Consider the following 16,438-nt stretch of genomic DNA (forward strand, 5'->3'; position numbering starts at 1 on the left):
TATCTAATGCCCTTTGGTGTTACATTTGACTAAAATACAAATGTCTGTATTTTAGTGTTGTGCATTATTCTTTCAAGTGCTAGGTAAATTGGAAAGAGATGGTCGATTGAGACAGTGAATATTCAAAAATTGGAAGGTCACAGATTTCTCTTAGATAAGAATAGTCTCATCACTACATTTAGCCCAGTTAATTGCTCCTGCACTTGTGAAAGGGCTTGGAGTCTTATACCAGATACAATACACTTTACAGTGAAATAAATTATTCATTCATATTTGATTTAGGGCAGTTTGGTTATAATTTTTACTTTGCATCTTGGCCATTTTTTTCTTCAGAGAAAAGCATTCCCTTTAAAAATTTATCCTGCTTTCCAACAACTAGTGCTAGGAGAGATGGATATCCACATGCAAAAAAATTCACTCAAAATGAAGCAAACACCTAAATAGAAGAGGTAAGGCTATACAACTTTTAGAAAATATAGAGTTAATCTTTGAGGTTTGGATTAGGTGGTGGTTTTTCTTTTTTTCTTTCTTTCTTTTTTTTTTTGAGACAGAGTCTCGCTCTGTTGCCCAGGCTAGAGTGCAGTGGTGTGATCTTGGGTCACCACAACCTGCACCTCCTGGGTTCAAGCGATTCTCCTGCCTCAGCCTCTCGAGTAGCTGGGACTACAGGCACGCACCACCATGCCTGGCTAATTTTTGTATTTTTAGTAGAGACAGGATTTCACTGTGTTGGCCAGGCCAGTCTGGAACTCCTGACCTCATGATGCACCCGCCTCGGCCTCCAAAGTGCTGGGATTACAGGTGTGAGCCACTGTGCCTGGCCAGGTGGTGGTTTCTTAAGACACTTAAAGCACAGCAAAGGAAAATAATTGGACTTCATCAAAATTAACTTGTGCTTTGAAGGGATACCATCAAGAAAGTGAAAGACAACCCATTGAATGGAAAAAAATGTTTGCAAATCATTTATCTAATTAAGTTATTATATGTAGAATCTACAAAGAATTCCTATAACTCAATAATAAAACGACAAATAACCAAAATTTTTAAATGGGTAAAGAATATGAATAGACTTTTCTCCAAATGAGTTATACAGAAGGCCATAAAATACATAAATATATGTTCACGTCAGCTCTCCAGAAAATGCCAATCAATGACAATGAAACATCACATCACACCTGTTAGGACAGCTATTATAAAGAAGACATGGAGGCCGGGCACGGTGGCTCATGCCTGTAATCCCTGCACTTTGCGAGGCCGAGGCGGGTGGATCACCTGAGGTCAGGAGTTTGAGATCAGCCTGGCAACATGAGGAAACCCCGTCTCTACTAAAAATACAAAAAATTAGCTGGGTGTGGTTGCACGTGCCTGTAATCCAGCTACTCAGGAGGCTGAGGCAGGAGAATCGCTTGAACCCGGGAGGCGGAGGTTGCAGTGAGCTGAGATCTTGCCACTGCATTCCAGCCTGGGCAACAGGAGCAAAATTCCGTCTCAAAAAAAAATAAATAAGACATGGCCAGGCACAGTAGTTCATGCCTCAACTCCCAGCATTTTGGGAAGCCGAGGCAGGAGGATTGCTTCAACCCAGGAGTTCAAAACAAGCCTGGATAATAAACAGTGAGACCCCCCCATCTCTGAAAGAAAAAAAAGGAAAGACATAGTATTGGCAAGAATGTGGAGAAATTAGAACCCTCATACACTTTTGTTGGTGAGAATGTAAAATAGTCCAGCTAGTGCAGCAGCTTTGGAAAATAGCCTGGCAGTTCCTCAAAAGCTTAGAGTTACCTATGACCTAGCAAATTGTACTCCTAGGCATATACCCAAGAGAAATGAAAATGTCCACACAAAAATGTGTACATGAACTTCATTGATAATAGCCAAAAAGTGGAGAAAAAGCCTAAATGTCCATTGACTGATTAATGAAAACAAAAAAATGTGCTATAACCACAAGATGGGTATGTTTAACCTTATAACAAACTGCCAAAACTTCCAAAGTGACTATTGTTTTGCATTCTGGCCAGCAATATATCAATGTTCCCGTTGCTGTACTTCTTTCTTAGCACTTGGTATTGTCAGGATTTTGGTCTTTTTTCAAGTAGCCATTCTAAGAGGTGTCTAGTGCTATTTCATTGTAGTTTACACTTGCATTTTCCTAATAACCAATGATGTGGAGCACCTTTTCATATGCTTATTTGCCATCGTGTATCTTCTTAGGTGAAATGTCTGTTCAAGTCTTTTGTTCATATTTTGGAAGATTGGCTCTTTTCTTACTGAGCATTAGTTACATATTCTGGATATAAGTGCATTATCAGATGTGTTTTGCAATTATGTTTTTCTCAGTCTGTGGCTTTTTTTATTAACTGTCTTTTGAAAAGCAGATGTTAATTAATTTTGATAAGTCCAGTTTTTCTATTTTTTTCTTTCTGGGATGTAAGCTGTGATTCATTCTCAGTTAACTTTGGTATATGAGTTGAGGTCCTTTTTTTTTTTTTTTTTTTTTTTTTTTTTTTTTTTTTTTGAGACTGAGTCTCGCTCTTTTGCTCAGGCTGGAGAGTGCAGTGACACAATCTTGGCTCACTGCAACTCCACCTCCCGGGTTCCAGTGATTCCTTTGCCTCCTGAGTAGCTGACTACAAGTGTGTGCTACCACGCACGACTAATTTTTGTGTTTTTAGTAGTTAGGGTTTTGCCTTGTTGGCCAGGATGGTCTGAACTCCTGACCTTAAGTGATCCACCCGCCTCAGCCTTCCAAAGTGCTGGGATTACAGGAATGAGCCACCACACCCAGCCATGAAGTTCATATTTTTACATATGGATATGCCAGCCCCATTTGTTTAAAAAACTATCCCCATTGAACTACTTTCATACAATGATAAAAAACCAACTATATATATGGGGTCTCTATTGTCTTCCACTGATAAATAGGATCTATCCACTACCAGTCTTAATTACTCTAGTTTTATCTGTCTTGAAATTAGGTGGGAGTTCTCCAACTTTGTTCTTTTTTCAAAAATGTTTTGGCTGTTCTGGTTGCCCCTTTCCATATAAGTTTTATCATCAGCTTGTTGATTTCTATAAAAATTCCTGCTGGGATTTTGACTGAAGTTGTGTTGAATCTATAGATCAATGTGGAGACAATTGACATCTTAATAATATAGAATCTTCTAATCCATGAAACATGGGCTATCTTCTTTTTTTTAGGTTCTTTGATTTTATCAGTTTTTTACTTTTCAGCACAGATCTTACATATCTTTGTTAGATTTCATGTTTTCTGAAATCTGTAAGTGGTGATTTAAAAATCTCAGTTTCTAAACATTCATTGCTACTACATAGAAGTACAGTCAACTTTTGCATACTAATTTTGCTAAATTCAGTTATTCTAGTAGTTTTGAGATTCTTTGATTTTTCTATGTAGGCATTCATATCATCAAGTAGTCTTATTTATTTATTTCCAATCTGTGGGCCTTTTTCCCACCTGCCTTATTGCACAGTGAGCTACATTGTTGAATAAGAATGCCTTGCTCCCAGTCTTAAAGGAAAGCATTCTTCACTATGTGTATGTTAGCTGTAGGCTTTTTTTGTAAATGGTCTTTATCAGGTTTAGTCTTAGTTCTCTGAAGACTTTATTTTTTTGTTTATTGAATCATATGTGGCTGAATTTTACCAGATATGTTTTTCTGCACCTTTTGGGTAAAAAAATTTCTGAGATAAAATTCACATAACCATAATATTTACCCTCTTAAATAAGCATATAGTGGCCGGGCGCGGTGGCTCACGCCTGTAATCCCAGCACTTTGGGAGGCCAAGGCGGGTGGATCACCTGAGGTCAGGAGTTGGAGACTAGCTTGACCAATGTGGTGAAACCCCATCACTACTAAAAATACAAAATTAGCCAGGCTTGGTGGCGCATGCCTGTAACCCCAGCTACTCGGGAGACTGAGACATGAGAATTGCTTGAACCAGGAGGCAGAGGGTGCAGTGAGCTGAGATCGCACCACTGCACTCTAGCCTGGGCAACAGAGTGAGACTCCATCTCAAGAAACAAACAAGAAAATATAATTTAGCAGTTTTACCTATATCCACAGTCATTTTCTGCAACTTTTGAGATGATCATTTAGCTTTTCTTATTTGTATGCTGATACAGTGAACTATGTTTTTTTTAAAACATTGGATCAACTTTTATTCCCAGGATAAACCCTACTTGGTCATGATGTATTCTTTTTATAATACTATGACCAGATTTCATATGCCAGTATGATAGATGACAGTTTTATAAAGTCCCAGTGACCTTATAATAAACATAACCCTAAACATACTTGTTTTCTTATTGCTTTTGAATAGAAACTGAGTGTCTTAAATGCTGTCACAAAATTTGCCATTTAGAAGGAAATTTTTAATTAAAAAAAACCTTATAGCTTTCAACTCATAAAATCACATGGATTAAAAAAAAAAGCTCACCTTTGGTATACAGATAATGACAAAATGTGCATTCAAGAAGCCCTAACAAGAAAAGCCTGAAGTAATTTACATGATGAAAATAACTCCAATAGAAAGGGATTTTTAGTTGATTGCCTTCCCTTCTGCTTTGGGTAGCCACACCAGAATTCCTATATAAAATGCTTAAGAGATACAACATGATCAAAGTTATGGCCGGAGGTCCTGCTGTGAAGCTTCATTTACATAACAAGTATTCATTTTCTTAACTATTTGTGTTACAGAACAATAAAAATAGATAACTTTTCTAAAATTATTTTTATTCACATTTTACATAAGATTGAAAAAATGTCAGTTGTTCACTACCAGAAAATGGGGAACTAATCACTCTGTTTGCTTTTGTACCTGTAACATTAAGGTTCTGTTTCCCAGACCCCAGAGATAAGACCTACAGGTTGTGTTTAGTGCTTCAGAAAAAAAGGAAACTAAGAAAGATAGCTATCATAAGAACATTTCACATTAAAAGACAGAGTAGATTGATTTTCTAGGTATTTTTGTTTTTGAGACAAGGTCTCACTCTGATTGCCAGGCTGGAGTGCAGTGGTGTAATTTTGACTCACTACAGCCTCAACCTCTGCAGGCTCAGGCCTTCAAAGTAGCGAGGACTGCAGGTGTGCGCCACCACACGCAGTGAATTTTTTTATATTTTTAGTAGAGACAGGGTTTCACCATGTAGCCTGGGCTGGTCTAGAACTCCTGGACTCAAGTGATTCACCCGCCTTGACCTCCCAAAGTGCTGGAATTACAGGCGTGAGCCACCATGCCCGGCTGAGTTTCTGCTCTTAAAAGAAACAGTGGGGAAAAAAAGAGAAGACATATTCTCATTTCAAAGCAATTTATGTTAGTAATAACTGAGCAAAATGATAGAATTTTTTAGTTGTGTGTTTTCAGAAGTAATGTCAAATTTACTTCAGATAATTTAAAAGGTTTTTTGCATATTAAATGGTTAATAAAGTGGTGTTATTATACTAAAGAAAAAATGCAAAACCTTTTTTACAGAATAGTATAAATGTTTATTTTCTGTATGATTTACTTTGCTGTCCTGTTTTTACAATATAGAAAAGTGTATTCTTTGAATAGCTCTAGTAAATATAAATTTAATCTTTCTACTTTGGGATGTAAATAGAGCTAAAAAATTATATACCCAACCCTCCCCAAATAGTCTTTTAAAATCATTGAATTAATGTGGCTATTCATCTTGTTCAGCAATTTGATGCAAATGCCTGAATACAAAAAGTTATTTAGTAAGTACTACACAGGAAGGAAAAGGCTTAATATTTTAGATAGATAGATTTTTGAAAATCAGAAAAACTAGTAGCATTTGATTGCACCTTGAAATTTTTTTACAAGCAAAACATTCGTAAGCAATGCCATCATACATAATCTACAATTGTAATCAAAATTTCACGAACATTTTCTGCACACTGTATATAAATACACATCACAAAGGTGCAATTAGAATTAACACAGAGTATGTACAAAATGAACAAAGTTTAAGTTTAGACCAAAAACTTATTGCAATCTTTTGAAAAATAACTTGATTATTATTTTACCCTCTTACACTAATTTACATTTATACAAATTTTAATTAAACATACTAGATTGAGGTGCTAAGAATGTTTGAACTATCTACATTTAAAGTTACTGCACTATGATTTTATAAATCCAAATTTAAAAGGAAGATACTTTAGTGAATAACGGAATCCTCTTTTGGATTACTTAATTTCTATTGCCTATATCTTGCATGTTCATATGAACATATATACACACTTAATACATACAACTATAGAGTCCTTGTAGGAAATGAAATAATCATATACTAATTACTGATGATTAAGGTACCTAACAAAATGCCTGAATTCCAACATGGTTTTTTCTTGTCATAAAATCAAGAGTCCTGTCACAACAGGCTCTTAAATTCATAGAGTTTTTGAATACTGAAAATGATTTAGGTTATTTTAGTAATTATAGGAAAACAGACCTTCCAAATCACTGGCTGAAAATAATGCCATATTAAACTTCCCTTATAAAAAGAAATCCCACCACAATTTTGAAAATTTTGTTAGGAGGCCCATTTCTGTAAATCAAGTAAGAGTTGCGATTTGGTTTGAAACCTCTTAGTTCAAAAGTCTATAAAAAGGGCCTGGCACGGCGGCTTATGCCTGTAATCCCAGCACTTTGGGAGGCCGAGGCGGGCGAATCACGAGGTCAGGAGATCGAGACCATCCTGGCTAACACGGTGAAACCCCGTCTCTACTAAAAATACAAAAAATGAGCCGGGCATGGTGGCATGCACCTGTAGTCCCAGCTACACGGGAGGCTGAGGCAGGAGAATCGCTTGAACCTGGGAGGCAGAGGCGTTGCAGTGAGCTGAGATCTCACCATTGCACTCCAGCCTGGGCTACACAGCGAGACTCCGTCTCAAAAAAAAAAAAAAAAAAGTCTGTAAAAATAATTGATTGTATAGATGAAAACTTCTCTAAATTCATCTTTTGCAGCTTCCCTATTCTTTGTTTCTCCACCCATGCCAAATTTTATACTTGATTACTATGTGAGGTTCTATATTATCACTACATAATGTTTACTTCCATTTATATCCACCTATCATTTTAATAGTACCCAGTAATCACTTTGACAATTTATTACTTCAAATACATACCACCTCTTTGAAAGAAAATGGAGACAGCCCAGAGCATCTGTTAGCCTTTCCTTATTATAGAAACACATTGCCCATCCTCTGAGATTTACTGTCCTTTAATATTTTATATGTTTTTTTAAATAACTTTAAAAAATTTTTAGTGTGCCTGGGGATTGTTTCCCCTTCTGACATTCCCAAAGTGACAACAGGATATTATTCCAGAATCGGCCCTAAAAGGCTGCTTTTTCTTTAAAAGATAGTCCTTTTCTAAATACAAAATGTCATTTGAATGTGTTTCATAAGAATTTGTTTATGTAACATTCTGTCTGCAGATATTCTAGATCAAGTCCCAAAGAATGGGTGCTAACCACTGCTGCTTTGGCTTTTCTATTAACAAAGTCATACAACACCATACATTATAAATTATATGAATTTATAAACATTTTTTGTCAAAGGTATCAGAAAGAGAACATCTAATTCTTAAGAAACCCAAGCAAATTAAAAAATCTATATAATAAAGAAAAATTCAATTTAGAAGGGGCATAAGCAGATTTAACTAAGATTTAAAATGTACTAATTTCCTCATTTAAAATTTCTTCTCCTTCAGTATTATAATTTCAGGTCTTTTAAAACAAGGACTGAATTAAAATACAGTAATTGTTTTTCTTCCAGAAAATCAAGTGTCCCTGCACCTTAAATTTTCTGTACAGTTCCATTTATCAGTCTTTTGTGCAAGAGTTAGCAATTCATGGCACAAGGGTCACTTTTTGCCTTTCCTGCAGAGTTGATGACACTCATCAAACATCGTCCGAATTCCTCAAGTATCATCCGTTCCGCTGCTGCCTTTGATTTTCCCTTCTTGTCTGCCTGCTCTGCCTGGGCAAGGAGGCAATTACATGTGGCTTCAGCTACTTCCTTAGTTACAAATGTAAATGGCAATCTGAAATGATTTTTGAAAGAGAAAGATGATGGTGGTGTTAAATAACAACAAAAGTGGATAACATTCTTTCATCTGGAAATCTCTACTGACACTTTCACAATTCACCAGCAGGATGAGCATCACAATTTACACAGTGAGCACAAGCACATCCTAAAAAGGGCTTTAAAAAGTTAAATTTGGTTTTATTCACATATTGTAAGAATATTGTTCAGGAAATTTAACATAAAACACGTTACTTATTACCTAGGCAAGGTTATGTGGTTAACTAAAAGATAATAGTCTACACGAAGACTAGAATTTCTTTAACTAAAATCCTCCTAAATCATGAATGTACGCTCTGTAAGTTCAATTCTTATTTACTGCTGTTGCTCCAGTGCCTAGAATAGTGCATGACATAGAGACGCTACATGAATAGTTGCTGAATGAATGAATAATACTGGGAATTGACAGCACTATCTCTTCGGCAAAATGAAAAATAAAGCACTTTACCATAGTCACTGATACTGTTTGTAGAAAACATTCCAAAATTCTGCATCGTTCTAGCACAACAAAACAAAATGGCGAAACCAAATGTTCTGTACACAGAGTTGCATTCATAAAGACCTGAGCTATTGAGTATTAAATTGGAGCAACCCATCGTGAGGCTTGCTATATTTGCAGCCAACTCAAGTCTTAAAGCCTGTGACAGATTAAGTCAAGCAACATAATCTAAACCACTAACTCAACAACCTGTGAGTAAGCGGTCACTAACAGAAGTATACTAAATAATGAAGTCTGAAATTAAAGCTCACTATGGCAAGAGAGGGTAATTGAGAATTCAGGCTGCCATGCAGCTGTATAGGAATCTTTAACATACAAACAAGCACTTTAAACTAGAAAATATTAATTTAAGGTTTTGGTCACTTGAAACAAGCTTGTTAACATGCTAGCATAACTTTTTTTATACAAGTTTTTAATATGTAATTTTGATTATAATTATAATTTTATAATTTTGTTTTCATATTGTTAACATCTTCCCAATTTTAAAAATTAATTATAAATATTTTACTGTAGCAGTATCTTTAATCTCCATGTGGAGATTAGATTCAATACTCTAAAGACCAGAAAGAATCCCAGGTTATAAGTCTTATTAAGGTGCCTGACCACTTCCACTTTATTCAGTCAAAAACCATTTGCTGTTTATATTCCAGTCAAGAGTTCTTTAGAACTAATATCTTAAGGCCAGGCATGGTAGCTCATGCCTGTAATCCCAGCACTTTGGGAGACTGAGATGGGCAGATCACCTGAGGTCAGGCGTTCAAGACCAGGCTGGCCAACATAGTGAGACCTCATCTCTACCAAAAATACATAAATTTAGCTGGGCGTCGTGGTGTATGCCTGTAATCCCAGCTACTTAGGAGGCTGAGGCAGGAGAATTGCTTAAACCCAGGAGGCGGAGATTGCAGTGAGCTGAGATCATGACACTGCACACCAGCCTGGGCAACAGAGTGAGACTCTATCTCAAAAAGAAAACAAAACAAAAAACCAAAACTAATATCTTAAATATTTTGTACAAAAAAGCCTTATTTTTATAAGCACTGGATCTCATTTTCAGTTTAGGCATTTTATTTTTGAGACGGAGTTTGCTCTTGTTGCCCAAGCTGGAGTGCAATTGCGTGATCTTGGCTCACTGCAACCTCTGCCTCCCAGGCTCAAGCGATTCTCCTGCGTCAGCCTCCCAAGTAGCTGGGATTACAGGCGCACACCACCATGCCCAGCTAATTTTTTGTATTTTTAGTAGAGATGGGGTTTCACCATGTTGGCCAGGCTAGTCTCAAACTCCTGACCTCAGGTGATCTGCCCACCTTGGCCTCCCAAAGTGCTGGGATTATAGGCGTGAGCCACTGTGCCTGGCCTACTTAGGCATTTTAAATAATATGCCATTTGCAAGGCTCATTCCATTTAATAATTCCTCAGATTAACCTCTAACAAACTTTCTAATACCAGTCCAGTCCAGTCCAAATCACAAACTATGTTTTATCAGGTCTTGACAAACACTGGAGATATTATAGACATGCCTTATTCCTCACAGCCACCTGGTATAGGCTATTTTAAGGATAAGAAAACTGAGGCTCAAAGAGATTCACAAACTACTAAGTAGCACAGATAGTATAAACTCAAGTCTACCTGACTTTAGAGGTCAGGCTTTTCTACTCCAGAGCTCAGCAGATGAAAGAGATAACAATACGGAGCTGCACTATTACAGTGTGATGGGTGGTCCAATAGGATGGGAAAAGTGCTCCAAGAAATGGAAAAGGCAAGAGAAGGTAGGAAAATGCAAAAACATAATTACACGTTCAGCGAGACATATGAACATCTGCTTTTCTTTGGGGTTCCTCAAATTACATAATTACCTCATCTTAGTAGACAGAAATTAAGCACAGTGGACTAAATCATTACTGTGCATTTTCGAACTGCACAATAATCTGACAGTGGTTTCTGTTACCTTTAAATTCCTTTACAAGTAACTAAAGATGGAAAGAAAACACAAAAATCAGGTTTGCAACAACCAAAAATATAAACTCAACTTTGCCCCCTGAAAAGAAACTTTACCAAAAGTATTTGGGAAGTACTATAAAAAGATTAAAATACTGACTTACTTTCCGCCTCCACTATTTAAAGCTGGTGTTGGCCTAGTAAGCAAGTCTGAAATTTGAGAGGATAACTTCGTCTTGGCTGCTGTTTGTTGCTGTACCCTTACTTCAGCTGCATCTGCCAAATGCATCAATGTCTTCCTTTCCGGGCTTTCTTCAAAATTCTTACAGCCAATACATTTGCATATTGAGGAACACATTATTTTTGCCTAAAAGATTTACATAAGAAAAGTTTCCAAATCAAAACCAAAATACATTACTATAAGTAGATGCCACAATCAAATCAACAGCTAATAGCATTACCTGGTCAACTGATAATAAGATTAGATGGAAGTATCTCTGGCTGACAAACAGTAACTACACATGTGGCTAGCTAGGTTAGGTATTCTTAAGTCTGACAGTGGCTGTACAACGTTTGTGGCTGTGTCCTTCCATGTCAGTTTTCCCCCACTATGAATATAGATTTTCTTCAGATATGAGTTACACATGTTTTTCATAAACATGAATGATATCCTAAAATATCAAAAATAAAGGTCATCCAGAATCCAGCCACCTCAATCAAATCATCATTAACATATAGATGACCTCCCATTTATGCATATGTATACAATTTCACATTAAAGGGATTTCACAGATGCCATTTTTATTATTCTATTATGCTATTTTTAATCTGAAGAGGGAGTTCGGGAGGGACTTCAGATTCCCCAAACCCTTCAATAACCCATATGAAACTAGTGTGTATTTTACATTTCATATAAATATATATTTTCATGTAAAAATATGTCAAATGTAAGTATATATAAAATCCTAGACCTTATGTATATACAAATATAGAACTTTCATTTTTTAGTTTTTCAAAATCATATTATCTGCTTTTCTGCATCTTGCTTTTCTTACAACTCATGGAATCCCTCCAAAGTCATCTGGCATAGCTTGAATTCATTCTATTTAACAGCTAGGTGTAAATCCCTGGTATGATGTGTCAATTTTATTGGGCATTCATTTCCCTATTGATGGGTGTTTATTTTTGTTTCCAGTTCTTGGGTACCACAAATGATGCATAAAAAGACTTTTTTGTTATACATTATGCCTTTTTATTTCTCTGAGTTAGATTTCTAGAATTGGGCTCACTGGTTAACAGGTCTGTGTATTTTAATTTTTTTTTTTTTTTTTTTTGAGATGGAGTCTCGCTCTGTCTCCCAGGCTGGAGTGCAGTGGCGCGATCTCAGCTCACTGCAAGCTCCGCCTCCCAGGTTCACGCCATTCTCTTGCCTCAGCCTCCCGAGTAGCTGGGACTACAGGCACCCGCCACCACGCCCGGCTAATTTTTTTTGTATTTTTAGTAGAGACGGGGTTTCACCGTGTTAGCCAGGATGGTCCCGACCTCCTGACCTCGTGATTCACCCGCCTCGGCCTCCCAAAGTGCTGGGATTACAGATGTGAGCCACCGCGCCTGGCCTGTGTATTTGAATTTTAAGAGATGTAGCCAGATTGCTTTTTCAAAAGGCTGTAATACCTCACATCTCATCAGCAATGTGTAAAGGAAGGCTTTCCCACATTCCCTCCAACAATGAATATTATAATTCCTTTTAACATTTTATGCCAGGCGCGGTGGCTCACGCCTGAAATCCCAGCACTTTGGGAGGCCGAGGTGGGAGGATCACCTGAGGTCCGGAGTTCAAGACCAGCCTGACCAACATGGAGAAACCCCATCTCTCTTTAAAAAAAAAAAAAAAAAATTAGCCAGGCATGGTGGCACATGCCTGTAATCTCAGCTACTCGAGAGGCTGAGGCAGGAGAATCGCTTGAACCCGGGAGGCGGAGGTTGCAGTGAGCCGCGATCACGCGATTGCACTCCAGCCTAGGCAATAAGAATGAAACACCATCTCAAAAAAATATATATATATATAATCTGATGGTGGGGATGATAAAGTGAGATTTCACTGTTCTTTAATGTATATTTCCCTGATTTCTAACGAATTTGAGTATGTTTTTGTTAGCTGTGTTTTCTTCAATGAACCCATGTCTATATAAATAAATAAAACTGTCCTTTCTCTCTATAGCACCTAGCAAGATAAACGGGCTGCATTATAAACACATTTACTCTGCTCCTTTCTTATAAGACACCAATAAATTCCACTTACCAAAGGAAAAAATGGATGTAAGTTTGTGTTAACTGGGTTACTGTGAGCCTGAATGGGAATCTAACTAAAGCAATACTTAATAAGCATCTAGTGATGACGAGAGAAAATTCCTGACCTCAGAGTGGGGAAAACATACCAATAATGGTAATTTAGATTTTATATATATATATATATTTGTTTTTTAAAAATTATCTTTATATTTTAAGAACCATAGGAAAGACATTAATAGTGTCTAACCGGAGCTCAGATGGAGAAATTACAATGACATTTAGCTTGGCGAATTTAACTTCCCCTATACCAAAAAAAAAAAAGATGTGGAGGGGAGGAAAATGGTCACAAGAAAAGACACAGCCATGAAATAAGGTGGGTAGCCATTCATCCAATCAACAAGCCTATAGGCATTGAAAGGACACATGAATGTGTTGTCCAGATGCAAACCAACAGGATTAAAAAGCCAATTCAGCTGAAGAACAAGGTGTCAAAAGAACAGTTCAACACAAAATGTCAGATAAGCCCACAGCTAATTTACAGCCAACTAGCCACTGCTATTCATAGTTTAGTATATTCTAAGTTTCTCCATTTTTTGGTACATAACTTTTGGAATGATAAATTTGTTACTAGACAGTGTATCTGTCCCGACAAAATTTCATTAGAATAGGTAGGGTAGGGCTGTCTCTTCTAACACTTTTAAACCAGTCCAGTACCTTTTCTACTTCTATTAATTCACAGGTTGTTAACCAGTTCAATTAAATGGTTAGTTCCTATATGTCTGAATTTCATATGCCCAGCATGTATTGATTTTTCAATGCCATATACATGAAAGGGTCGCTTTACCCTTCTGATCCAACTTTACATAAATTTCCATGTTCTGAAAAGAAGTGTTAATTTTTACATATTCGTGACAATTTTTGTATGATATGGCTTCTAAACGCAAGCCGGCTATTTCATCAGGTATTCAAAAGAAGAAAGACTAAAAAAGATTCCAACACTGGATGAAAACTGGCTTGTTGGATTTTGAGATGTTAAGACAGTTTAAAAAATCAACTTGCGACGGTGGCTCATGCCTGTAATCCCAACATTTTGGGAGGCTGATGGGTGGGCGGATCACTTGAGTTTGAGAGCAACCGGGCCAACGTGGTGAAACCCTGTCTCTACTAAAAACAAAAAATACAAAAATTACCTGGGCATGGTGGCAGGTGCCTGTAATCCCACCTACTTGGGAAGCTGAGGCAGGAGAATCGCTTGAACCCAGGAGACGGATATTACAGTGAGCCAAGATCGCACCACTGCACTCCAGCCTGGGCGACAGGGCGAGACTCCGTCTCAAAAACAAAATAACAACAACAACAACAACAAAAAACTTGTCTCTTTATGCAATTTTCATTCATATCATCTGCAGAACTCACAAGATGTTACTCTCCTATTCCCTATTCTACTTTACTTCCTGAGAGGAGTATTTGACTTTGTAAATAAGTAGATTAGGAAAGAATTCATTACACAGAGAATGCAATACACAAAATCTTTCATATGACACATGCTGTATGGGAGAGGGCACTGAACTGGAGGACATGCTCCTGTGGCAGGGCAAACCTTCAGCAAGTGCAAAGCTAGGCTTTCTGCCAATAAATAAATAAACTAATTAATTAATTAATTCTCTGAGAATAAGAAAGAATGAAAATATATGAGAGTATGAGAAGAGCCAAGAAGAGGAATAACTCAACCACCCAAAAGACTGTCAGTAAAGAGTTTCAGGCATACCAAGAAACCAATTATGGTAATCTAGGGTTAATCTCAATCACTAGATTGTTACACATAAGCTTCTAAAATAAAACTATATAGTACTGTGTCTAAAGCAAGAAGGGGAAGATTTATATGGCATTTGTCAGAGCAGAGTTTCAACTACATCTTCCAGAGAAGACGCCTGACCCATAAGTAAAAATAACCAGCTCAGTGGAACAACAAAACAGTGAAAATGGAGACAATTGCCTACCGTGACCAGTAACCTCATCCAGCAGAATGCCAGATCCCCCTTTCCTATTTTTATGCTCACAAAGCAAACTTAACATACTTTGGTTTTCCGCAGAGCAGTGTGCTCTTTGAGTGGGCATAACCAGCATTTTGGTCAAGATAATCCTTTAATTTCCAGACTGTACCTTGGGATGCAGGCTATTTTGTATCCATATATATATATATATTTATATATTTATAATATATATTTATATATTTGAGACAGAGTCTTGCTCTGTTGCCCAAGCTGGAGTGCAGTGCCATGATCTCGGCTCACTGCAATCTCCACCTCCTGGGTTCAAGCGATTCTCGTGCCTCAGCCTCCCGAGTAGCTGGGATTACAGGCACCTGCCACCATGCCCGGCTAATTTTTGTATTTTAGTACAGACGGGGTTTCACCATGTTGACCAGGCAGGTCTCGAACTCCTGACCTCAAGTGATCTGCCCGCCTCTGCCTCCCAAAGTGCTGGGATTACAGGTGTGAGCCACCGCACCCGGCCATATATTTCTAAGAAGCCTGTGAAGAACAGTAAGTAGAACTGCACCTCAGGTGAGAATCACTGCTGGAGAGTTTCCAATCCACTTTGATATTATTTTTATTGAAAATCAATATATTGGTGTTCTGATCTGCATACTTTCTGAGCATAATGACCAAGAAGTTATGGTAAATCACCCAGTAAGACCCCAAGCTGTAATAATAAACCCAAGGTATTCCTCCGAAGCCCTGCTACAGAGGCTCGAAGGCCTTCCTAAAACAAGGGCCTTTGCACCAACTGTGCATATTTTCAAATTGCAATAGCAAGGTGATTTCCCAATTTTCAAGTAAATTTTTGTAGTAGGTCCTTTCTAAAACTGTTTTTAAAAGATATTATTTTCCGCACCCAGCATCTCACCTCATAGCATTCACAGTAGTTTTTAAGACATCCTGATCGTTTGCAATTACACCCTTTGCTATGACGTCGATCAGATTCTCCCTCCTTTCCTTTCCCTATCTTAGGCTTAAAGGCTTCTGGATTTCTGTCAAGGCATGCCTAGCAAAACAGATCAAATATCAGTTAGAGTTAAATCACAGTAGATGAAATTTAAACACTGCAAAAGGAATTGATAACGTTTCTTTGCAAGACAATTGAGTTTTATAAAACTGATGAAACTGGATATTTCTGTCAGTTAAATGAAATAAAAAATAATCACCTTTATTGCTTTTTGCCTTTCATTTTCATGTTCCAAATTGTTGTAACAATTAGTACAATTGCAGTTGTTGCAAAATTCACCATTTGCAAAGCAATCACAATACCTGAAAGGTAAAAGTCAGTATAAGGTAAAAAGTCATTATTAAGGAAAACTAATTATCTGATTATGCATACATTGTATATATATTGTACACATACTACATATGTGGTAAAGCATCTCAGAAATCTACTCAGCTACCCAGTTAAAGAGTTAACAACACATATTGTCAACCACATACTAAGGCTCAAAGTTTAAATCACCAAGTACTAGAAATGTGGCCTAAAAACTTAGTCCAACCAATAACAGCTGTCACACAAGAGCTGTCACACATATAAATTATATAAATTATATGTCA

The 16,438-nt window shown here is 37.2% G+C and overlaps 1 protein-coding gene across 10 annotated transcripts in view; it reads right to left on the bottom strand.

The window, feature by feature from the left end:
• Positions 1-4,368: 4,368 nt before the first annotated feature.
• LIN54 (lin-54 DREAM MuvB core complex component) overlaps positions 4,369-16,438 on the bottom strand; it is an 88,339-nt gene continuing 76,269 nt past the window's right edge. For all 10 annotated transcript variants that reach the window (NR_110254.2, NR_110253.2, NM_001115007.3 and 7 more), the window contains 4 exon segments: positions 16,045-16,147; positions 15,747-15,884; positions 10,709-10,911; positions 4,369-8,069 (listed from right to left, as the gene is read on the bottom strand). Coding sequence is in view for 8 of the 10 variants with exons in the window: in NM_001115007.3 (NP_001108479.1) it covers positions 7,868-8,069; positions 10,709-10,911; positions 15,747-15,884; positions 16,045-16,147 (646 nt within the window). In the remaining 2 variants the exon portion in view is untranslated.

This window comes from Homo sapiens, chromosome 4 (genome assembly GCF_000001405.40).
Source record: "Homo sapiens chromosome 4, GRCh38.p14 Primary Assembly".
Classification (NCBI taxonomy): domain Eukaryota; kingdom Metazoa; phylum Chordata; class Mammalia; order Primates; family Hominidae; genus Homo; species Homo sapiens.